The sequence below is a fragment of the Homo sapiens genome, chromosome 5, assembly GCF_000001405.40.
Source record: "Homo sapiens chromosome 5, GRCh38.p14 Primary Assembly".
Taxonomy (NCBI): domain Eukaryota; kingdom Metazoa; phylum Chordata; class Mammalia; order Primates; family Hominidae; genus Homo; species Homo sapiens.
Window position 1 is genome coordinate 174,522,401 of NC_000005.10, and position 25,772 is coordinate 174,548,172.

Here is a 25,772-nt window from a genome sequence, read left to right on the forward strand (position 1 = left end):
GAGACAGAGTGTGTGTGTGAGAGAGAGAAGAAAGACAGAGAGACAGAGTGTGTGTGTGTGTGTGAGAAGAAAGAGAGACAGAGTGTGTGTGTGTGTGTGAGAAGAAAGACAGAGACAGAGTGTGTGTGTGTGTGAGAGAGAGAGGAGAGACAGAGTGTGTGTGTGTGTGTGTGTGTGTGTATATACACATCTATGTAGGCACAATCTGATGAAAAACCAGAGCTCTACATAACAATACTCCTGACCATTCATGGTACAATGTGATCTTTACCCACATAATCTGCACAGCAGCCACTGGCCATAAACATTTCTGTGTTTGCTCACTCCTCACTGCAGGCTGTATGTGTATCTGTCATTCATCACTTCACAGGCTCCTTTACATGTATTTTATCCTTTCTATCCCTAACACTGGGACAAGGAGCCTTAAGTAATATTGTCCTACCCATTGGGCAGATGAGAAGACTGAGGTCTACAGTGGTACATGGACCAGCCCAAGGTCACATGGGGAGTGAAAGGCAGAGATGGAATTCAGACCCCAGTCTCTCAGGCAGGTGTTCTCCTTCCCATACCACTCTGCATCTTTGTTTTTCTGCTTCCTAACAAACAGGGCCTGTTTCTTCTCCTTCCTGTTTTTGGTTCTTTCAAACATCCTGAGCACGTGAGCCCAGGATCCTCCTTAAGCCCTAGGGAGACAAAAACTCCCCTGGAGAAACTGGGAGGCAGCAGGACTGAAAGAGAGTGAAGAGAAAATCCAGGCCTTTTCCTTCTCGTGGCCTTGGAGCACAGTTTCAGCATTCTCCATCATCTTCCTGGAGGAGTAGGACCTGGTTGAAGAAAAAGAGACCCTAATTTTAAATCTTTAATGCCTCCTCACTTCTATAACGACCTAAAGCTGAAGCTGAACTTCAATAGCATAAATTATCCACAAAATTCTAAATATTTTCAAAATCTGTGCAAAATCTCGGCATGAAGTCCCCAAGGACAGGCACCTGGCCATCTCACTTTTAGTATATTCTCAGAATCTTGGACAGAGCCTGGCATATAACAGCTGCTCAATAAATATAAAGGAGGAAGGAAGGAAGGAAATAAAGAAAAGAGAAGAGGGAAGGAGGGAAGGAAGGAGGGAAGAAAAGATGGAGAAAGAAGGAAAGGAAACATATGTATGTCAGCCCAATCCTTAGAATTAAACCTTCCAGAATTAAGGCAGCAACTGGGTGCCTGCAAATGTCTAGAGTGTTGTGGATAATTCATTGCAAAGAATTCCAACTTCAGTTATGGGCCAGAGACAGGTGGCAGTGGAGAGCAATGAAGAGTTAAGATTTTATGACCTCAATCCTAACTGTGCCGCTGACCTTGGATGAGTTATTTTATCTTTCTGAGCTTCAATTTAGCAACTGTGTTTGTTTTCTATTGTTGCCATTAAAAAATTATCACAAACTTAGTGGCTTAAAACAATACACATTTATACACTTAGAGTTCTGGAGCGCAGGAGTCTGAAATGGTAAGCATTCCTCCTGGAGGCTGTGGGGCAGAATGCGTTCTCTTGCCTTTTCCAGCTTCTAGAAGCTGCCTGTGTTGTCCGTCTTGTAATCCTGCATATCTCCAACCTCTGCTTCCATTGTCACATCTTCGATTCTGCCCCTCCTGTCTGCCTCTTCTAGGGACTCTGATTACACTGGACCTATCCAAGATCTGAGATCATCAACTCATCTCAAAATCCTTAAGCTGACCACAGCAGCATCGTCCCTTTTGCAGTGTAAGGTAACGTATTCACAGGTTTTAGATCATTTTCTGCCTACCACATCCACCAAAACAATAAAAGATACCGTTTACCTTACGGGATTGTTCTGAATGTTAAACTGAAAAAAACGCATGTTCAGCACTAGACATGCAGGAAGAGATTTATAAATATAACTTCTTACCAGGTCTCAGAAATACAGATCTGTCCCTGCCTTGGGGGCCATATAATCCCATCCTTATCATAAAGATAAGTGGGAAACAGTATCAAAGGAATACTTGGAAGATAAACTCTCCCACATCTCACTCCCTGAGAGTGACTCTATTTACTGTTGCTTGCTTCCTTCTCATCTTCGCCCCAAAGCAGACACATTTGGCATAGCTGCAATAATAGTGTGCACGCCTTTTCATCAAACTTGTGTTCCTTTCACTTTTCGTGGACCTACTGACCTTGTTCCATGTTGCTACACCGCCATGAAGTCATAACAAAGTGTCATGTGTAGAGAGGTCTTCACTTTCTATCATGCCATACCATCATTTTTTTGGCCATCCCCTAGAGTTGGACAAGCTCAAGGTTATTCTAGTTTGTTTTTTATATAATTGTGTTTTTGCTGTTTGCAATAATGTTGCTAAGAATATCTTTATTGAGCCGGGAGTGGTGGCTCATGCCTGTAATCCCAGCACTTGGGAGGCCGAGGCAGGCGGATCACTTGAGGTCAGGAGTTTGAGACCAGCCTGGCCAATATGGTGAAACCCCATCTCTACTAAGAAAATATAAAAATTAGCTGGGCGTGGTGGCAGATGCCTGTAATCCCAGCTACTTTGGAGGCTGAGGCAAGAGAATCGCTTGAACCTGGGAGGCGGAGGTTGCAGTGAGCCAAGATCACACCATTGCTCTCCAGCCTGGGTGAAAGAGTGAAACTCCGTCTCAAGAAAAAAAAAAGAATATCTTTATTGAGCTCACAGTAAATTTGCTGCATATACACACATATACATATAAAAAGTTTGTTGAGTAAATGAATAAACAGAATAATACATGAATAAGAGTTAATATATAAATGAATGAATGAAGTTAATTGATAAATTTCTGAATCACTCATTTAATCATTTTACAAATATTTGAGTAACTAATAAGAATAAACACTAGATAGAAATCCTGTCCTCATGAAGCTTACATTCTAATGGAGAGTGAGAAAAAATGCACAAATAAGTAAATGAACAAGGTAATTTTAGATTGTGATAGATTGTGTAAAACAAAACCAATAAACTAGGGAAGAGGATTACAGATGGTAGGAAGTGATAGAGTGAATTGCTGTAGATGAGGTGGTTTGCAAAGTTCATCTGATGGGTGCTCTGAGCTGATACTTGAATTATAAAAGGGAACCAGCCTTGCAAAGACCCAAGGGAGCAGAATGTCAGATAGAGACCAAAATAAGTGCAATAGTACCTAAGCCAGGAAAAAGCTTGGTGTGTCCCAAGAAAAGGAAGAAACCAGGGTGACTGCAACACAGTGAGTGAGGGTAAGGGTCTTATCCAGCAAGTGCTCAGAGGGGCCAGAGCCCACGTCATGAAGGGTTCAAAGTGTCAAGAGAAGCCATTGGAGAGTTCTCAGCAAAGGAGATGCATTTATAAATTAAATCAATGAGTGAGTCATTAAGTGGAGCCCAGAGACAAGAGTTCATAAACGAGTGACTACATTAAAGGATGTATGTGGTGAATGCTACAATGTGCCACCCAGATGTCCCTTTGGGAATAAAAGACCTACTAGCCAAGAGGCTGGCAGTGCCGCCTGCAGATCCTCAGCTCTCGGCTGAAGAAAGCCCCCTAGCCCTGTGTCCAGCCTCCTTCACAGGAAAGCCCACATCGGATGATTGACCAGCATGGAGGTATAAAGGCCTGGTCTTCTGGGCCCAGTCAGGAGAGCTCTGGAGCTCCTCCCATGTTTAAAACTCCCCTAGTAATGGCTGGGCCTTCACTGAGACTGTGTCACAGCTCCTTGTCTCCCTAAGCCCAATCCCACTTCCTTTCTCTCCCTTCCACTAGTGTTGATTGCAAGATACTTCCTAATAAAGCTCCTGTCTGCTTCCCAGGGAGCCCAGCTGGGACAATGTGTGAATCAACGCATGAAGGAGTGAGTGAGCAGCTAACCAAATGAAAGAATACTCAGATATCTGGGGTACAGTTCCCCTCCAGGTTTGCACAGCATCTGCTGAAGTCTCCACTAGAAACTCAATGGAAGGTCCCCACCGGAAACTGAAAGTCTCCTAGAGTGGCTTTGAGTTGCGGTTTCACCCTCCCTGCAGATCCACAGGTGAGGTCAATACTTGACTCTAAGAGCTGGGAATGGCCATGGCAGTTGGGGCCATCTGGAGGCCCCGGTGTCCACCTCAACCTGACTTCTCAGCCCCCAGCTTCCACCCTGAGAGCCACTCCCTCTTCCAACAACAGGCAGGAGAAGCGCAACAGAGACTGCCCCTTGGGAGACATTTTTAAAACAAATTTTTATTTAACCTTCTCTGTGACCCACAGGGTACATAGGTTCCTGAAATATACTCAATTTCTGTTTATTTAAAGAATGCTTGCCCATTTGGTGCTTGCTTGAGTAGAATCACTGTGATTATTCACTTCACTGTGAGCATTCACCTGGCAGGATTTGCCGGGCATGCTTAGTTCTCAAAAGATTTTTTTTTTCTCATTTTTTTTCTTTGTCATGTTTCTATTTTTAGGGGAGGCTGGGGCAGATGGAAAATACCAACTTGATGGTCTGTGGCCACACCATGCTGCTCCCCAAGGCCCCTCAGAATTTCACTGCCCAATATGGTAGCGCCCAGCCTGAAACGTGGCCAGTGTGAATTGAGATGGGCTGGAAATGCACCAGACTTCCAAGAGCTGGACAAAAACCATATACGTAAAGTATCTTTGTTTTACATATTTGTACTGATGACACAATGAAATCATATTTAGGGTATTTTCTGTTACATAAAATACATTACTAAAATTAACTTGCCTGTTTCTTTTGACATTTTTAATGCGGCTGGTAGAAAATTTAAACTTTTCAATGCCAGCCTGTGCACCATAGGGAGACCCCATCTCTACAAAAAATGTTTTTTAAATTAGCTGGGCATCATGGCTCATGCCTGTGATTCTAGCATTTTGGGAGGTCAAGGCGAGAGGATCACATGAGCCCGGGAGTTCGAGACCAGCCTGGGCAACATAGTGAGAGCCTGTCTCTACAAAAAATAAAAGAATCAGCCAGGCGTGGTGGTGCATGCCTGTTATCCCAGCTATCTGGGAGGCTGAGGCGGGAGGGTCGCTTGAGTCTGGGAGATTGAGGCTGCAGTGAGCTGTGATCGTGTCACTGCACTGCAGCCTGGGTGATAGACCCTGTCTCAAAATAAAAAGAAAAAAATTTGGACTTCGCATATGTGACTCATGTTATGTTTCTATTGAACAGGACTGGACTGGGCCCCATGCATTTCTCATCACAGACTCTTCTACCTATTTTCTTTTTCTGTTTTTCTTTTCTTTTCTTTTCTTTCTTTTTTTTAAGACAGATCCTTGCTCTGTCACCCAGGCTGGAGTGCAGTGGCGCGATCTCGGCTCATTGCAACCTCCGCCTCCCAGGTTCAAGCAATTCTCCTGCCCGAGTAGCTGGGACTACAAGCGCATGCCACCACGCCCGGCTAATTTCTTTTGTATTTTAGTAGACATGGGGTTTCACCATGTTGCCCAGGCTGGTCTTGAACTCCTGAGCTCAGGCAATCCACCTGCCTCAGCCTCCCCAGGTGCTAGAATTACAGGCGTGAGCTACCGCGCCCGGCCTCTTCTACCCCATTTTTACCAGCAGGGCAAGGCCTTGGGATGTTTGAAAAGTGGCACTTTCCACCTGAATGTGACTGCGGGAGCTTTCTTGTGGTCTGAGCTATCGGAGAGGAAGGCAAAGATCATTTGTTAATGACATCCTCTTTTCTTCCCCATTCGTCCCCTCCTTTTTCATTTGGTCTGCTGTCGTGCTGTCTGCTGCAAGCCAGGAAGCACACTGCAGACCAACTGTTTCCCCTGCTGCATTTGCCATGGCTTCCAATTCTGCTCTCGTTGTTTTTGTCTAGCGTTCAAAAGGTGTCAGGAAAGGCAGGGGGTTGCTGAGGCCAGCGTGGGTGTTTGTGGGATGCCAGACACCTGGGCTGCTGGAAAACTTTTGCAGCAACTCTGATTTCTTCTCTTCTCAGTTTCCATCCAGCTGTTTGGCATTGGATACTGCTGCCTCTGCTTGACTTGAGAATGTGTGAGAAAAGCTGTGTTTAGACAACTGAAAACCATGAGCTTGAAAGTAGTGGGGGCACACTCTTGGAGACTCCAGTTGCTCACCAGCTTGGACAAACCACTGGACTCAAATGATCAGGTAGAAATTCATCACTGGAGAGAACACAGTGGAATGGCTTCAGCGAAAACTCACTCTGAAGGTCTTCAGGGCAACTTTAAGACTTGCCCCTGGCCGGGCACAGTGGCTTATGCCTATAATCCCAGCACTTTGGGAGGCCGAGGCGGGTGGATCACCTGAGGTCAGGAGTTCAAGACCAGCCTGGCCAATATGGCGAAACCCTGTCTCTACTAAAAATCCAAAAAATTAGCCGGGCGTGGTCGTGGGCGCCTGTAATCCCAGCAACTCGAGAGGCTGAGGCAGGAGAATTGCCTGAACCCGGGAGGCAGAGTTTGAAGACAGCCGAGATTGCACCACTGGGCAACAAGAGCAAAACTCCATCTCAAAAAAAAAAAAAAAAAAAAAAATACTTGCCCCGGCTTTTTGTGTGATGGACTTTCTATTTACAGACGTGATATTTATCTATGACTTTACTCAGAGTCTGGCTCATAGACCAGAAGGACTGGTATCTCCTGGAGCTTGCAGGAAATGCAAAATCTCAAACCCCTGTATTAGTCAGGGTTCTCCAGAGAAGTAGAGCCAATGGGATAGAGACAGGGATAGGGATGATAGAGATGGAGATAGAGGTAGAGATCCATTGATTCCTCTGTTAATAAATTGGCTCATGCAGTTGTGACAATTTCGAAATCTGCAAGGTATGTCAGCAAGCTGGAGACCCAGGGAACAGTTGATGTTGCACCTTGAGTACAAAGGCAGTGTGTCTGGAGCCATAATATCTTCTTGTTAGGAAGACTTTGGTCTTTTCTCTTCTGGCCTTCAACTGCTTGGGTGAGGCCCGTCCCCACTACAGAAGACAATAGTCTGTTCTACTCAGAGTCTACTGATTTAAATGCTCATCTCATCCCAAAAAATACCCTCACAGCAACATTTAGCCTGTGCATTTGACCAAACAACTGGGTACCATGCCCCCCCTCCCAAGTTGACACACAAAATTGACCATCATACCCTCCCCACCCCCAGTCTTACTGAATGAGAGAGAATCTGTGCTTCAACAAGATCCCCAGAAGAGGTATAAGCGCAGGGAAGTCTGAGAAGCACCACCTTTGAGGCTTATCCAGGATGCCCACATGAGCCTTCTCTGGATATGTCAGATCCCCTTCCTGGCCCCCTAGACACCTCCTCCACTCCCCAAACTTGGAAGCAACATTGTGGGGAAGCAGGCAGTGAGGCGCTCAGTCTACCACGTTGTGAGATACACAGCTCCATCTGTGTATCATGATTTGATCCAAGGGAAAACAAAAGATCCAGAAACATAAGTACTTTTTTGTGAGCTCTCAAAAACTTCCTGTGACAAGATCAGGTCGTTGATGCGAGAGCCACACTTGTTTCTTTTTCCTCTTTATTCTCCACCTCTGACATAATACTTAGCATAAAAAAAAATCCAATAAACACCACTGAATCAATTATCTAAGCCTCAGTTTCCCTCTTGTAATATGTACTTACCTGGTTGTGGTAGGAAAGACACCAGGCATGAGAAACACTTAAAAGCCCAGGACCCTGAGCTGGGCACATGGTAGGTACTCAGGAAGTCATTGCCGAGTGTTCAGTGCATGCTTGTTGAATGAGTAAATGAGGTCAGGCTTCAGCATGCAAACACTCGCTATAAAGCAGGAACCCTGTGCCCTGAGTGCACAAAATAGATATCGGTGAGTGCATATGGGGGCAGTGAGTGTATGGATTGGATATAGGTGGGTGTATATGGTGAGGAGTATGGATTGGATACAGGTGGGTGTATACAGAGGGGAGTGAGTGTATGGATTGGATACAGGTGGGTGCATATGCGGGGGGGGGGTGGCGTGAGTTTAAGAATTGGATACAGGTGGGTGCATTTGGGGGCGTGAGTGTATGCATTGGATACAGGTGGGTGTATATGGGAGGGTAAGCGTGTGGATTGGATATAGGTGGGTGCATATGGGAGGGTGAGTATATCGATTGGATATAGATGGGTGCATATGGGAGGGTGAGCGTATGGATTGGATACAGGTAGGTGCATATGGAAGGGTGAGTGTATGGATTGGATACAGGTGGGTGCATATGGGGGGAGTGAGTTTATGAACTGGATACAGGTGGGTGAATTTGGGGGAGTGAGTGTATGGATTGGATACAGGTGGGTGCATATGGGAGGGTGAGCATATGGATTGGATATAGGTGGGTGCATATGGGAGGGTGAGCATATGGATTGGATATAGATGGGTGCATATGGGAGGGTGAGCGTATGGATTGGATACAGGTGGGTGCATATGGGAAGGTGAGCGTATGAACTGGATATAGGTGGGTGCACATGGGAGGGTGAGTGTATGGATTGGATATAGGTGGGTGCATATGGGAGGGTGAGCATATGGATTGGATATAGGTGGGTGCATATGGGAGGGTGAGTGTATGGATTGGATATAGGTGGGTATATATGGGAGAGTGAGCATATGGATTGGATATAGGTGGGTGCATATGGGGGACAGTGAATGTCTGGATTGGATACAGGTGGGTGCATATTGGGGGAGTGAGTGTCTGGATTAGATACAGGTGGATGCACATGGGAGGAATGAGTGTACAGAACGAATACAGGTGGATGCATATATTGGGAGTGAGTATACAGAGAGGATACAGGTGGATTGAGTTGTTACAACCAACGACAGGAAGCACATGCAAGGCTCTAGGCATTGCACAAAGCACTCCATAGGCAAAATCACACTGGCGCCAATAGCAATCCTGGGAGATGTACTCATTATTAATAATATTGTTGTCATTTTATAGAGAAGGAACACAGGCTCAGACATCAGTGCCATATCTGAAGACATTCAGCTAATAACAGGATGGAGTCCAATCTGGTAATGCTTTTTTTCTAACTTTAAGATCTCCTACCACTCCTTTCTTTTTGAAAGGAGATAGAAGTGAGATAGAGAAAACAGAGACAGAGAGAGTGTGTACACACCTGTGCCTGGGTGTCTTTGCTGGTGTGTGCACACCTGTGCCTGGGTGTCTTTGCTGGTGTGTGCACATGTGTCTACATGTGTGGTCGTGAGAGTACACACAGGGGCTGGAGGGTGGGGAAGGGCTTAATCTAATCCTGAAAGTGCCAGCAGAACTCTTGGGTGTCCCTCAAAGTCAAGCTTCTTTCCAGGTCATCGAAGTTTTCACTTGGGTAATAATGCACGCATAATTAACTGAACAAATATAATGAATCTATCTGTAGTGACATGATAGTTGGTGCTGAATCCTATTAGAGCACATTTAATTAAAAATGCATTAAACCTTCAAGCTTCTAAACACACCCTGCGCTTCTTCAAAGCCGCCCCTCCGTTAAAGTCTTCCCCACTATTAACTATGAGTCAGCCTGTGACCCTTTGGGCATGACGGGGTGAGGTGAAGTGGCTCTTAAATGCCTGTGCCAGTATATCACAGGCACTAATGGATTTAAATCAGGGAGATTAATTCCATTCATTCGGCTCCTCATTTCAGAAACAACTGTCACGCTGAGCCTAATTGCTGAAGATGGTTGAAGGCACCAGGAGGCTGGAGTTTCCTGGAGGTGGTTTGTGGCCAACCGTCAATTACTTGGGCTGCTGTGCAGTGGGGATAGAAGGATGATTAGAATCCACAGACAACCCATTGGCCTTTGTTTACCATTAACTTCTGTTTTCTCCACCAGCCAAGCTCCTCCAGACCCAGGAGATGGCTCTTCCCTCTGTGTAGCACACTCTTTCCAGTCAAGGGGTCTTGCACTGCTATTTCCCCTTCTGCTTTGCTTGGTTCATTCTTACTGACCCTCCAAATACTGAAGGAATGAATGGAGAAATAAGTAAATGAGAGATGTGGCCAAGAGTCTCCAAGAGAGGAAATTAAAAAATCCTATACCTGTGAGGAACTGGCCCACTTGCAAAAGGCGGACTCATTTGTCACTGTGTTTGCTGGCTGCTCGCACCACACAGTTTCCAGCCTAGGCATTATTTCCAACCTCTTTTTCCAAAGGGTCTTTCTAAGGTACAGAAAATGGACATAAAATCGCCCAACGTAGTTGAGAGGTAAGGAGTAAAAGCCGGAATTTGAACTCCTAATCTCCTGCCACGATTTCATGCTGCCTCTGGGTAATCTCCCAGCACGTTGCTTAATCAGCTGCTGAGTCATTGAGAGCCGGCAGAACCAGCTTCCTGCTGAGGCAGAGTGGGAGGAGGCCCGTCTGGGAGCAGCACACTGAAGGAAGGGAGGAGGAGGTGATGTTTGGCACAATCGGATTGGTTCCCATGAGGTCCAGGGCTGCGGCTCCTACAGAAGGCACTTTTTGCATATGGTAGGCTTCACGGGGTGCAACCTCTGTGTTGTTAGGAGAACCTCGTGCTTGCTATGATGCTCTGCTGTCATTATCTTGAAATTCTTAGTCACATTAAAACACGGGAGCCTACATGTTTATTTTGCACTGGATCCTGCAAATTAGCCAGTCCTGGTACTGAGGGCAGGTCCCTGGGTGAGTCTCACACAGCCTCCATCCTTTGGTAAAGCAGCTTTCCTGATTTAGCAAATGCCTTACCAGAAAGCCTTTTCCTTGAAGATGCTTTAACTTTTGTCTTCCCTGGCAAAGCTGTTTCCTTATGGTAAAGCACCCAGCTCATAGCTGATATTCAATCCATGAAGTAGCTCTGTCAGCAGCTGTCATCATGAAGACTTTGCAGCCTGCGGGTGGTAGCATTCTGAATCGTCAGTCTGTCTCGCTCCTGTAGCAAATGCACGATCCGGGAAAGCATGTCCCAAGCTTTGTTCTGGAGAAGATTTCTCCAGCTATCAGATGGTGTCTGTCATCACAATAGCTTAGGAGATGCTGCTCACTCCATCCTCCTCACTAAGTGTCACAGTACACTTGGGTATGTACAAGTCTCTGAGAAGTCCAGCAGCAAAGACACCTTTGTGTTTTGCTGATTCTAGCCTTTCCTAGACTAGAAGTCTTTTTTTCTAGTCTAGGAAAAGACTGTGGAATCTTTTCTTTTTTTTCCTGATACACACATTCACATTCCGTGGAACATTTAGGACGTGGTTATCTGGTCCTAAAGTAGTAAAGGTGAAGATGTTGTGGGAGGTGCAAGAAAGAGCAGCAAGGAGTAGATGGGGCACACTGCAAAGTGCGATCCCCACATACCTAAGTTAGTATCAATTACTACTAACAAAACTCGGCCAAGACTCTTTTGCATTCGTTTTGTTTCTCTCTTTTACCCTGATTATATTAAGAAATATGACAGGCCTGTGACTCACTGATTAGACCATCTTAGTCACTTTGGGTTGTCCCAGCAACAGGAGACTTAACTCTGACCATAGGTAAGGAGCCCAGAGGACAGGAGAGCAGGGATTTCTGAGGATTTAACAAATGCTTATAAACAAATGATATCACTTTGAACAAAGTAATCAAAGTATCAAATGCTATAAACACCACAGTAGGGCAATGTGTGAATCATACTTGTGGTGAGACATACATAGATCAGCTGCAAAGAGGAACTCAATTCTGCAGAACCTCAGCTGGAGTAACTGATGTGAAACATGGACAGGGAAATGGAAGGAAGTCAGCGGACACGGAAACTCTAGGAACTGAACTTTGACAAGGAACGCCGTCCATAATCCCAAGTCCTATGACTTCATAGAGGAAAAAAACCCTAGTGGAGCAGAACAGGGCCTCATAGAGGGGCTGGGGCCTCACTGAGGGCTGGGAAGTTTGATAGGACTTCCCTTGCTGGTAAGGAACAAAACTGGGTCTCAGGTTCAGGTTTGTAAAGCTAATTTCATACATTTGCAGCAGATGCTGTCAGTGTCCCTCCCCAAGCCCCTCAGCACTCAGCATTCATAGACATCCTCATCTTGCAAGCACCTGAGTCTCTCTCTGTAAGGTTTCTGTTGGCCTCAGGGCAGACCAGGGTACCAGGGAGGGCAGACCAGGGTACCAGGGAGCACAGCCCTCAAAGAAAGATGACAGGAGTTGGTGTAAATCTCATGGCTTTCATGTTACTTAGGGGGACCAATGCTGAGGCATGCTTAGCATGATCCTCTGTGAGACTGGGCCTCAGGTGTCCGCTGCAGCCGCCTGTTCATTAGTGTGACATGCACGGGATTCCTTCCGTATCCTGGCCCCTTTCTCTACTTCCCAACCGTGCTTCCTGAGACATACTCAAATCCTTGTCTCACACTTGGCTTCTGGGAGAATCCAACTGCAAATGCTGTGTTTTATTTTTTATTTATGTATTTAATTATTTGGAGATAGGGTCTCCCTCTGTCACCCAGGCTGGAGTAAAATGGCACAATCCTAGCTCACTGCAATATTAAACTCCTGGGCTCCAGTAATCCTCAGCCTCCAGGAGCTGGAACTACAGTCGTGCACAGCAATGCCAGCTAAAGTTTCCTTTAAATTTTTTGTAGAGTCAAGATCTCACTATTTCAGTCAGGTCTTGAACTCCTTGCCTCCCAAAGTTCTGGGATTACAGCACTTGGCCTCCCAAAGTGCTGGGATTACAGGCGTGAGCCACTGCATCTGGCTGTTTATTCCATTAAAATGATTGAAGGAGTCTCTTGCTTTGGGAATTTTGCTCCCGTGGTGAGAACACTATGGGAATGACATCTCAAGAATATGGCTCCTTCAAATGAATTTAAAATGGTCTTTCTATTTTTGTCCAGTGGTTACAATAGCTGATGGGCTCGAGGTAAGGAGATGCTAAGCTGCCATTCTCTCCTTCAACCCATGGCATTTACTGAGCTTCTAAATCAGTCAGGCCCTGGGCTGGACCCTGGGCATGCAGACTGAATCAGAGCCTTCAGGACTAGCAGGAGAGACAGGTATATATAGTGGCAAGGGCAATATTTATTCACTCATTCATTCTTTTTCCTTTTTTATGTGCCAAATCTTTAATGAGGGCCTACCTTGTACTCAGGAACACCAGGAATAAACAGAAAACAAAAAGATATCATTTCTGGACTCAGTTCACCATCTAGAGAAAAAAAAAAAAAAAAAAAAAGACCTGAAATGGACAAATACAGTACTGTTTGACAAATGTCACGTAAGAAGAAGCCCATGATACTGAGGATGGTATAGGAGGGGCCGTATCCAGGTTGAAGGAGTCAAATATGACAGCTGCCGTGAGAATTACAATCAGAAAACCATGACCCGGATGCTTATCCTATTCATTGCTTGAGCCTGAGAACACAAACACACAGGGTGTGGCTGAAATTCCTCTGAAATTGTATTGATTTGAGAAAACTGCAATCTTGTGTTAAAATGTGAATCATACACAAGGATGCAAAACAGTTACCGCTGACCATAAATCTAGGCTATCAGAATGGAATCTGATGGCTTGTCTACCAGACTGCATTGTGAAACCAATCAAATGGGAGATAGACTCACCACTTACCAAGTACCTCTGAGACACCAGGCACCCTGTGGGGTGCCCTACTCATCATCTTGTTTAACCAGTTGATTGGGAATAGCTCCATTTTACAGAGAAAGACTGTTAGGCAGCTTTCTAAGATGGCCCTAATTATTCCTTCCTTCTGGTAATCCCCTTCCTTTAAATGTGGGCTACACTTAATTACCTGCTTTTAACAAACAGAATATAGCAAAAGTGATGGGATGTCAGGAGACTGAATCAGTAACCAAAAACCTCCAGACAAAGAAAAGCCCAGGGCCAGAGGGCTTCACTGGTAAATTTACCAAACATTTAAAGAAGAATTAGCACCAGTCTTTCTCAAACTCCTCAACAAATTGAAGAGGAGAGAACACTTCTAAATACACTTTATGAGGCCAGCATTACCCTAACATCAGAGCCAGACAAAGACACAAGAAAAGAAAACTACAGACTAATATTTCTAATGAATCTTGATGCACAAATCCTCAAAAAAGAAGAAAACATACTAGCAAACATAATTCAGCCGCACATTAAAAGGATTAAGCACCATGACAAAGTGGGATTTATTCTTAGTATAAAAGGATATTTCAACGTAAAAAAGTCAATGTAATATATCACATTAATAGAATGATGAGAAAAAATCCACAAGATTATCCCAATTGATGCATTTAACAAAACTTAATACTCTTTCATGAAAAAACACTCAACAAACCAGGAATACATGAAACTACCCCAACATAAGACAGTCCACAAATGAAAAGCTCACAACCAACATAATACTCATGGTGAAAAGCTGAAAGCTTCCTCTAAGATCAGGAATGAGACAAAAATGTCCACTTTTGAATCAACCTGTATTCAACATAGTATAAGAAGTCCTCGCCAGAATTTTCAGGAAAAAAAAAAAAGAAAGAAAAAAAAGCCAGTCAAATTGAAAAGAAAGAAGAAAAATTATCTTTGCTCACAAATGACATGAACTTATAAAACTCCTAGAATTAATAAATGGATGCTGCAATGTTGAAGGATACAAAAATCAACACACAAAAATCAGTTATGTTTTTATATACTAACAATGAATGAGCCAAAAATGAAATTAAAACAATTCCATTTACAATAGCATCAGAAAGACTAAAATACCTAACAATAAACTTAACCAAGGAGGTAAAATGCTTGAGTATTTAGACACTAAAAATTATAAGGCCTGCACGGTGGTTCATACCTGTAATCCCAGCATTTTGGGAGGCAGGTGGATCACTTGAGGTTAGGAGTTTGAGACCAGCCTGGCCAACATGGTGAAACCCTATCTCTACTAAAAATACAAAAATTAGCTGATGTGGTACACACCTATAAGCCCAGATACTTGGGAGGCTGAGGCAGGAGAATCACTTGAACCTGGAAGGTGGAGGTCTCAGGGTTTCAGTGAGCGGAGATGTCACCACTGCACTGCAGCCTGGGCAACAGAGAGAGACTCCGTCTCAAAAAAAAAAAAATTATAAAGCGTTGCTGAAAGAAACTAAAGACAACACCAATAAATATAAATATATTCCATATTTATACATTGAAAGACTTAATATTTTTAATATGTCAGTACTACCCCCAAGCCACCTACAGATTCAATGCAATCTCTATCAAAATCCCAATGGTGGTTTTTTTTTTTCTTTTTCTTTTTTTCTTTTGAGAGAAGGTCTCACTCTGTCACCTAGGCTGGAGTGCTGTGGTGAAATCTCAGCTCACTGAAACCTCCACCTCCTGGGTTCAAGCAATTCTCCTGCCTCAGCCTCCCAAGTAGCTGGGATTACAGGCGTGTGCCACCACGCCTGGCTAATTTTTTTGTATTCTTAGTAGAGACAGGGTTTTACCAAGTTGGCCAGGCTGGTCTCGAACTCCTGACTTTAGGTGACCCGCCCACCTTGGCCTCCAAAAGTGCTGGGATTACAGGCGTGAGCCGCCGTGCCCGGCCCCAATGGTGTTTTCGTTGTTGTTGTTGTTGTTTTGTTGTTTCTGAGTCAGGGTCTCACTCTGTCACCCAGGCTGGAGTGCAGTGGCCCCACCTTGGCTCACTGAAACCTCTGCCTCTCAAGTTCAAAGGACCCTCCCACCTCAGCCTCTCAAGTAGCTGGGACAACAGGTGTGCACCACCACACCTGGCTAATTTTTGTATTTTTTGTAGAGACAGGGTTTCTCCATGTTGCCCAGTCTGGTCTCAAACTCCTGAGCTCAAGCAATCCACTCTCCTCAGCCTCCCAAAGTGCTGGGATTACAAGCATGAGCCACTGCACCTGGCCAGATGGCGTTTTTTTTGCGGGAATAGAAAAACCCAAAATTCATATGGAATCTCAAGGGATGCAAAATAGCCAAGATGAAATGAACAAAAGACAAAGTTAGAGGTCTCACATTTCCTGATTTCAAAACTTGTTACAAACCTACAGTATCAAAACAGTGTGGTACTGGCATAAAGATAGACATATAGACCAATGGAATAGGATAGAATAGACAGAAATGAGTCCTCTCATATATGGTCACCCTTCAACAGGGCCACCAAGACTATTTGATGGGGAAAAACACAGTCTTTTCAACAAACGGTGCTGGGAAAACTGAGTATCCACATGTAAAGTAATAAAGTTAGATCCTTACCTTACATCATAAACAAAATTAACTAAAAATGGATCAAAGACATAAATGTAAGACACAAAAGTATAAAACTATTAGAAGAAAATATAGGAAGAAAACCTCATGACATTGTGTTTGGCAATGATTTCTTGGCTATGAAACCAAAAGCAAAAGACAACAAAAGTGAAACTAGACAAATTGGACTACATCAAAATTTAAAACTTCAGTTCATCAAAGGACACATCAACAGAGTAAAAAGACAGCCTATGAAATGGGAGAAGATATTTGCAAATCATATATCTGATAAGGGGTTAATATCCAAAATATATAAAAACCCCTAAATTCAACAACAAAAAAACAATCCAATTTAAAAATGGGCAAAGCCAGGCATGGTGGCTCACATCTGTAATTCCAGCACATTGGGAGGTCAAGGCAGGCAGATCACTTGTGCCCAGAAGTTTGAGACCATCCTGGGCAACATAGGGAGACCTCATCTTTGATTAAAAAAAAATTGTTAATTAGCCAGGTCTGGTGTCACACACCTGCAGTCTCAGCTACTGTGGGGGCTGAGGTGGGAGGATCACTTGAGCCCAGGAAGTCGAGTCTGGAGTGACCTATAATCACATCACTGCACTCCAGCCTGAGCAACAGAGCAGGACTCTATCTCAAAATGAATAAGTAAAATAAAATAAGATGCAAATGGGCAAAGGACTTGAATAGCCGTTTTTCTAAAGAAGATATACGAATGGTCAGTAGGCACATGAAAACATACTCAGCATCACTAACCATGAAGGAAATGCACATCAAAACCACAATGAGATACCACCTCATACCCATTAATATGGCTACTATCAAAAAAACAACAACATGGGAGAAAATTTTTGCAACCTACTCATCTGACAAAGGGCTAATATCCAGAATCTACAATGAACTCAAACAAATTGACAAGAAAAAAACAAACAACCCCATCAAAAAGTGGGCGAAGGACATGAACAGACACTTCCCAAAAGAAGACATTTATGCAGCCAAAAAACACATGAAAAAATGCTCATCATCACTGGCCATCAGAGAAATGCAAATCAAAACCACTATGAGATATCATCTCACACCAGTTAGAATGGCAATCATTAAAAAGTCAGGAAACAACAGGTGCTGGAGAGGATGTGGAGAAATAGGAACACTTTGACACTGTTGGTGGGACTGTAAACTAGTTCAACCATTGTGGAAGTCAGTGTGGCGATTCCTCAGGGATCTAGAACTAGAAATACCATTTGACCCAGCCATCCCATTACTGGGTATATACCCAAATGACTATAAATCATGCTGCTATAAAGACACATGCACACGTATGTTTATTGCAGCATTATTCACAATAGCAAAGACTTGGAACCAACCCAAATGTCCAACAATGATAGACTGGATTAAGAAAATGTGGCACATATACACCGCGGAATACTATGCAGCCATAAAAAATGAAGAGTTCATGTCCTTTGTAGGGACATGGATGAAATTGGAAACCATCATTCTCAGTAAACTATCGCAAGAACAAAAAACCAAACACCGCATATTCTCACTCATAGGTGGGAATTGAACAATGAGATCACATGGACACAGGAAGGGGAATATCACACTCTGGGGACTGTGGTGGGGTGGGGGGAGGGGGGAGGGATAGCATTGGGAGATATACCTAATGCTAGATGACGCGTTAGTGGGTGCAGCGCACCAGCATGACACATGTATACATATGTAACTAACCTGCACAATGTGCACATGTACCCTAAAACTTAAAGTATAATGAAAAAAAAAAAAAAAAACACAGAAAATAACAAATGTTGGTGAGGATGTGGAGAAATTGGAACCCTTGTACACTGTTGGTAAAAATGTAAAATGGAGAAACCACTGTGGAAAACGGTGTAGCAGTTCTCATAAAGCAAAATAATAGAATTACTGTATGATCTGGCAATCCTACTTCTACATATATACCCCCCAAAAACTAAAAGGAGTATCTTGAAGAGATATGTGTACACCCATGTTTGCAGCAGCACCAGTCACAATAGCCAAAACGTGGAAGCAATCCAAGTGTTGAAAAGATGAAAGGAATAAACAGAATGTGGCATATACACACAATAGAATATTAGCCTTAAGAAGGAAGGTATTTCTGATACATGCTACAACAAGGATGAACCTTGAAGACATTATCTTCAGTGAAATAAGCCCTTCACAAAAAGATGAATACTACATGACTGCACGTATATGAGGCACCTGGAGTAGTCAAATTCAGGGAGACAGAGAGTAGAAGGGTAGTTGCCCGGGAATGGGGGGAGGTGGGAATGGGGAGCTGTTGTTTAGTGAGGACAGAGTTTTAGTTTTACAAAATGAAAAGAGTTCTGGAGATCAGTTGCAAAACATGAATGTACTTAACACTACCAAAGTATACCTTTAACAATGGTTAAGATAGGAATTTTTGTTGTGATATTTTACTACAATTAAAGATTTAAACTACATTATTTGTTTTGGAGACAGGGTCTCGTTCTGTCACCCAGGATGAAGTACAGTGGCACGATCATAGCTCACTGCAGCCTCAACCTTCCAGGCTCAAGCGATCCTCCTGCCTCAGCCTCCCAAGTAGCTGGGACCACAGACATGCACACTGCGCCCTGATAATTTTTAAATTTTTTTTGTAGAGATGGGGTCTTGCTATGTTGCCCAGGCTTACCTCAAACTCCTGGGCTCAAGTAATCCTCCTGCCTCAGCCTCCCAAAATACTGGCATGTCAGGCATGAGCCACTGTGCCCAGCCTAAACGATTTTTAACATAAAAAAAGGACAACATAAGAAGAAGAAATTCACAGAAAACAACAACAACAAAACCCAAAAGACACAAGATGTTATTTCTGAGACATAAGTTATAAAAGAGTGAGGCTTCAGTCTTACTCTGGCTTGATCGCACAGAGGAAGCCAGCCACCACACTGGAGGGGCCCAGGTGGCAGGGAACAACTGAGGGAGGCCTCCAGCCAACAGTCTTTAGGGAACTGAACCTGCCAGCAGCCACATGAGTGAGTCCACAACCTTAATCCCAGCTTGGGAGGAACCCTGAAGCAGGACAAGGCTAAACTGCAGAGGGATTCCTGACCCACAGAAACTGTGAGATGACTGATACTGTCATTTTAAGGTACTAAGTTTTGGGGTAATTTGTTACACAGCAATAGATAAGTTGAGGACATCAAGGCTGAAAGAAAATAAGCATGTAGGCCGGGTGCAGTGGCTCATGCCTGTAATCCTAACACTTTGGGAGGCTGAGGGGGGTGGATCACCTGAGGTCAGGAGTTTGAGACCATCCTGGCCAACATGGCAAAACCCCATCTCTACTAAAAAAAAAAAAAAAAAAAAAAATACAAAAATTAGCTGGGTGTGGCGGCACGCACCTGTAATCCCAGCTACTTGTGAGGCTGAGGCAGAAGAATTGCTTGAACCCGGGAGGTGGAGGCTGCAGTGAGCTGAGATTGTACCACTGCACTCTAGCCTGGTGACAGAGCAAGACTCTATCTCAAAGAAAGGAAAGAAGGAAAAGAAAGAAAGAAAGAAAAGAAAGAAAAAGAAAGAAAGAAAGAAAAAGAAAGAAAGAAATGAAAGAGCGAGACTCTATCTCAAAGAAAGGAAAGAAAGAAAAGAAAGAAAGAAAGAAAAGAAAGAAAGAAGAGAGAGAAAGAAAGGGAAAGGAAAGGAAAGGAAGGTAAGGAAGGAAAGAAAGGAAAGAAAAGAAAAAGAAAAGAAAAAAAAAAGAAGCGTATGGCAAGTGGGAGGCATCTGAAGCCTGTCTGGCCCCAAAATCCCCCCCTACTCCGCTCATGTCCTTCCCCCAAAAGCATCTTCCCTGGTGGGGTAAAAGAGCTTACAGAGATCACACCGCATCCCAACCTGTTCCACACACGTGGGTCCGCCAGCGAGGACACACGGTTCCTTGATGTTCAGCTTTTTTGCACATCAAAATACCAACAGCAATAACTCCTCACATTTATTGACAGTGAGGAGTTATTAGTGAGGAGTTATTAGTGAGTTGTTATTGCTCTTGGGGGAAGGACTCGAGCGGAGTAGGAAGGGGACTTTGGAGCCTGACGGGCTTCAGACGCCTCCCTCTTGCTACATGCTGATGCCCTTTCAGACTTGGTGTCCTCCACTTGGTTGCTGTGTAACAGATTACCCCAAAACTAAGGAGCTTAAAAGGACACCTAAGAAAATCCGCTACTCAGAAGCTTAGCCTTAAATATCTCTGTTTCGAAATAAAAGTGAAGGCTGCCTGCTAAGGACAAATAGAGACAAGGATGCTGCCGGTCATCAGCACATTGGCCAAACCTGTTCCCAGGCAGCTCTCAGCAGTATTGGCAAAAGACACCTGACCACATCATCTGTGGGCTGGGAACACTGACCGTGGTAATGCCAATCATAACCACCCTGTTCTATGCACCTCAAATGTACTAGGCTTTGTGTCTAGCTGTTGTGTGATTTGACCACTGTGCTGTCAGAGGCAATGCAGTCTCATGGTTACAAATGTGGGCTCTAGAGTAGAAGACTCCAGCCACAACCCAGGCGTTGACACTCCCAGCTGGGTGACTTTGGCAGCTGTTTTGTCCCTTCTTTGTTTCCTCACCTGCAAAACGGGATTACAATAATTACCATCTCATAAGGTCATTATGAGGATTAAATGGGGTAAAGCACATAAACCACACAGAACCATGTGCAAACAGTCAATAAATATGAGGAGTTATTACGATTGTTGCTATCATCATTACTGCCTTTGTTATCTTCTATAATTCGCACAATAATGGAAGCTAAGATTCGGAAACTGGGTTTTCTGTGTTCCAGATGAGGAAATGGAGGCTCAGAGGGGCCACATACCATTTCCAAGATCACATAGCCTCAAGGATGACCCCGGATCCACTCTGGGTGTGTCTGTCTCCAAGGTCAGTGTGATATTTCCAATATCCCAGGCTCAGATGCTCACATGTACCATTTCTCTTCTTACTCACTGGGACCCTGGTCCTCCTTGTTTTAAGATATCACTTGATGTATGTTGACTCTGGAGGTCTGCTGCCTGATGGCTTAAGGAGAAGCCAACGTGGGGACAAATAAAGAAATAAAGGGCTTTGGGAAACCTGTGTGGTGGGAGGAGGAGGGAGGCTTAGTGTGATACAAGAACAGCTATTTTACAAATGCCTTGCCTTTAAATAAAGTTTCTACGTATAGATTTGTGAACCTTCATAACAACCCAGGGAAATGTAAATTATTATGCCTTTTTTAAGATCAAGTTTTCTCATTTGAATGAATGAATGCATTTTCCAAGGCACAGAGAACTCCTTCCCCAGAGTCTCCCAATTTTGACCTAACAAAACTTATGCTTGAACCCTGCTCACCTGACTCCAAGCCCAGGGCTCTTTTGTTCATACTACAGCTGGAGTTAATCATCACAGTGGCTAAATGTATTGAATTTCCATCACCTGCATGTTTCATAGGCATTATCACATCCAGTCCTTATAACCACCCAATCAGGTCATTACTGTATTAGACTGGTGCGAAAGTAATTGCGGTTTTTGCCACTTAAAAGTAATGGCAAAAACTACACTTACTTTTGCACCAACCTACTAATTATTCACCCATTTTACCGATGGGAGGACAGACTGCAAGAGGTGAAAGGACTGGCTCAAGGTCATGCCGCTGGAAAGTGATAAATACAAGACTGAAGCTCACAGTTATCTGGCTCCAAAGGTATTTCTCCTTATACAACACCCAGGGGAAGACATTTGGTGAAGTGGAGGTTCCTTCCTTGTGGTCTTCTGTCGTGTTACTCAGACTCTACATCTGGAAGCATCTCTACTTAGGGGCCTTCCAGAAGCCAGCAAAGCTACTTGCCAGGGCAAAAGTCCCTTGGCTCTGCCCATCACAAGTTGGTGAGAGTAAACACATATGCACTCTGACTTTGGATGGCTTTTCTTTCTTCTTTGCCTTCGATCATCCTTATCTGAAATGATTTACTTGTTTGTCTGTTGTCTGCACCTCCTCCACCAAACCCCTGCAAACGAAAGTTCCATGTGAACAGGAACTATGTTCTGTTCATTCCTGTATCTCCAATATACAAAGCAGGCCCTGACATTCAGGTGTTCAATACATTTTTCCTGAATGAATGAATGAATGAATGATGAATTTACATGAAATTCCATGCAAGATGGAAAATTTTCAATACAGAAAGAATATATTCTGGCTTTATCTGTGGCATGGATTGTCTCAGCACTGCCAATTCCTCTGGCTGGATGGGCTAGCTCCGCTCCTGTCATCTGTCTCTCTGCTGAACTTGGCAGAGTCCTTAGACACAGAGATTTGTCGAGTGATCAGGGCCTCCCACAAACAACGCACAAAGACCCCTCTAGTGAAGTGTGGTTTTACCACAGTGGGCAGTTTCCACCTTCATTTGCCTCCTGTAAATTGGAGTCTTCGCATTTCTTTCTGCAGCCTTTGGGGCGAGGCTGTATCTAGCCCCTGTGTGACTCGGGGCTGGAATTTGTTTCACCTACCTAGGACTTTAGGGCTGAAAAGCCCTTGGAGGTTATCTAATCACAACGTATCACTTTGCAAATAGGTAAACTGAGCTCACAGAAAGGAAAGCTGAACTCACAGAAAGGAAGATACTTGCCCAAGGTCACTGTTAGAGGTTGAATTGTGTCCTTTCCAAAATTCATACTTCGGAGTCCTAACCCCTAGTATCTCAAAATGTGGCTTTATTTGGAGATAAAGGCTTCACAGAGGTAATCAAGTTAAATGGAGGACATTAGGTTGGGCTCTAATCTAGTATGACTGATGTCCATGAAAAGAGAAAATGTGGACACAGACATGCACACAGGGAGAACACTGTGTGTAGACAAAGACAGAGATCAGGTGATGCTTCCGCAATCCAAGGAACAGCAAAGATTGACACAAGCTACCAGAAGTTGGGGGAGAGAGCTAGGGGACCTGTCACAGCCCGCAGAAGGAACCAACCCTGCAGATACCTTGCTCTCTGACTACTGCCCTCTAGAACTGTGAGACAATAAATGTCGGTTGTTTAAGCTGCCCAGCTGGTGTTATTTTCTATAAGGACACCAGTCATATGGGATTGGGGCCCAACCTAATGTCCTCAGTTTAGCTTGATAACTTCTGCAAAGACTCTGTCTCCAAATAAGGTCACATTTCAAGGGACTGGACATTAGGACTTCAATATATGAATTTAGCAGGGGGACACAATTCAACCCTTAACAGTCACTCGGCAAACTGTGAGAATGGAGAAGGCAAGGACCCACCGTAAGCCTGGCTTCCATGAAGATGCTTCCCCGACCTGTACTCCATACCCTCCCCAAGAGAAGGAGGGCTCTGTGGGCCTGCAGTTCATCTCTTTCCACTTGTTTAAAGATGTGACATGGTGGCTCCTTGGTCTTTTCTCATTTCCTCTCTGTCTTGGATAGAGAGGCCTGGCACACAGATCTCAGGGCCATCGCCCCACACCCCACCTCCTGCCCCTGCCTCCCACCGCAGGTTCTTGGCAGGGCACGGGAAGTCCCAACAACTCCCCAGCTCTCTTCAAAGCATTTTTCTCCTACCTTTGATTTTTATTGGTTTGTGTCTTAAATGTTTTGTCTGTAATTACACAGTTTGCTGCATGTCTTGTTTCATAATGACTAACATGAAGTTCATATACAAGCAAAGGGAAGCACATAACTAAATGAACATTTAATAATTAGTATTCATTAAGGCAATTATTTTAATAAATTATGCTCAGTTGAGTATAACCATTTTGTCCTGATTTAAAAACAAAATAACAAAAAAACACCTGCCTAGTCTAACATTGCAGCAAGGGAAGAGAAGTAGGTGAATGAGAGGAACCAAAGGCTAGACAGAAACAAGAAGGGATTGGAGAGAGCAGAACAGATGCACATGAATGTCTAAAACAGTTTAGAAAATCTAGTTTACCCATTTATTATGTATCAAGAATGAACGCAAACATTTATAAAGTGCTCACTAAATGCCAAGTTATTTGCCTGTACTACCTTATTTAGTCCTCATACCAAAGCAATGAGACAGAGTCTTTTATTCTTATTGCCATTTTACAGATGAGGAAGCTGAGGTCTGCCCAAGCTCACACACCTGGTAAGTAATGGAACCAGGTGTTGAACCTAGGCAGCCTTATCCAGAACCTGTCCTTGCAGCCTCTGGACTCAAGACCTTTACATTTCAGGTGTTAGAAAATGGGAGCGAACCATCTGCCTTGGAAGGCTGAAAGATGGGTAAATGATTTTGTACTCTGCTGTCACTGTCTTGAAATTCTTTAATCATTTTTTTTTCTTTTCTTTTCTTTCTTTTTTCGAGAGGGAGTCTCACTCTGTCATCCAGGTTGGAGTGCAATGGCGCAATCTTGGCTCACTGCAACCTCTGCCTCCCGGGTTCAAGCAATTCTCCTGCCTCCACCTCCTGAGTAGCTGGGATTACAGGCACCTGCCACCACACCCAGCTAATTTTTGTATTTTTAATAGAGACAGGGTTTCATCATGTTGGCCAGGCTGGTCTTGAACTTCTGACCTCAAGTGATCCTCCTGCCTCAGCCTCCCCAAATGCTGGTATTACAGGCGTGAGCGACTGCACCCGGCTTAAATTCTTAATCCATTTCTAACAAGAACCTCCACATTTGCATTTTGCACTGGGCCTTGCAAAATAGATAGTCAGTACTAAGTACATGTTTTGCTGTTGTAACAAAGAGATCTAGAAATACAGTGACTTAAACAAGAGTGAAGTTTTTTTTTTTTGAGACGGAGTCTCGCTCTGTCGCCCAGGCCGGACTGCGGACTGCAGTGGCGCAATCTCGGCTCACTGCAAGCTCCGCTTCCCGGGTTCACGCCATTCTCCTGCCTCAGCCTCCCGAGTAGCTGGGACTACAGGCGCCCGCCACCACGCCCGGCTAATTTTTTGTATTTTTAGTAGAGACGGGGTTTCACCTTGTTAGCCAGGATGGTCTCGATCTCCTGAGCTCGTGATCCACCCGCCTCGGCCTCCCAAAGTGCTGGGATTACAGGCGTGAGCCACCGCGCCCGGCCAAGAGTGAAGTTTTTTTTCTCTCTTACCTAACAGCCCAGAAGTAGGCAGTTCAGATAGTAAGATATCATTTCTATCACCAGCATGCAGCTTCTACATTTGGGTCCAAGAAGACTGTCCCATTCTTACCACCTCCTAGTCAGTGGCAGGGGAAAGAAGGCAGGGAAGCATATATCCAGTCTTTAAGGTCAGGGCCTGGAAGTGGTACCTGTCACTTCTACTCTATCCCATTGAGCAAAACAAGATCACGTAGCCACACGTATCCCCCAAGAGAGTTCAGAAACGTACCCTTTAGCTGGGCAGTTTTGTGCTGAGATGAAACTCTGTGATAACCAGCACTTTGGCACACTACCAAATCTTCCTCAGTTCTGACATTCTCAGGCCGATGCTCTTATGCCAACCAGCTGTCTCCGTCTCTCCAGTTTCTAGAAAGCCAAGATGCATTCATGGAGCTCCTAAGAATGGAGAGGTTATATGTCCACAACGCCCCTAGAATTGTGTGCAAA

At 44.2% G+C, this 25,772-nt stretch overlaps 2 long non-coding RNA genes across 2 annotated transcripts in view, besides 1 other annotated feature; one reads left to right on the plus strand and one right to left on the minus strand.

Annotated features, from left to right (window-relative positions):
• LINC01411 (long intergenic non-protein coding RNA 1411) overlaps nucleotides 1-4,739 on the plus strand; it is a 190,786-nt gene extending 186,047 nt beyond the window's left edge. The window contains exons 4-6 of the long non-coding RNA NR_125806.1: nucleotides 1,662-1,761; nucleotides 3,828-4,048; nucleotides 4,464-4,739. This is a non-coding gene — a long non-coding RNA (long intergenic non-protein coding RNA 1411). The remainder of the gene's footprint in view (nucleotides 1-1,661; nucleotides 1,762-3,827; nucleotides 4,049-4,463) is intronic.
• Nucleotides 745-25,713, minus strand: LOC105377739 (uncharacterized). The gene is made up of 4 exons (XR_941261.3): nucleotides 25,555-25,713; nucleotides 13,067-13,134; nucleotides 2,188-2,290; nucleotides 745-824 (listed from the first exon to the last, which is right to left on the minus strand). It is a non-coding gene; the product is annotated as an uncharacterized LOC105377739 (long non-coding RNA).
• Nucleotides 9,522-10,721: an enhancer, noted in NCBI's record as "CDK7 strongly-dependent group 2 enhancer chr5:173958925-173960124 (GRCh37/hg19 assembly coordinates)". NCBI's record gives its function as "activates an origin of replication core promoter dependent on BRD2, BRD4, P300/CBP, MED14 and CDK7 cofactors, with strong dependence on CDK7, by STARR-seq in HCT116 cells {active_cell/tissue: HCT116}" and the evidence as "EXISTENCE:reporter gene assay evidence [ECO:0000049][PMID:35650434]".
• Nucleotides 25,714-25,772: the final 59 nt, after the last annotated feature.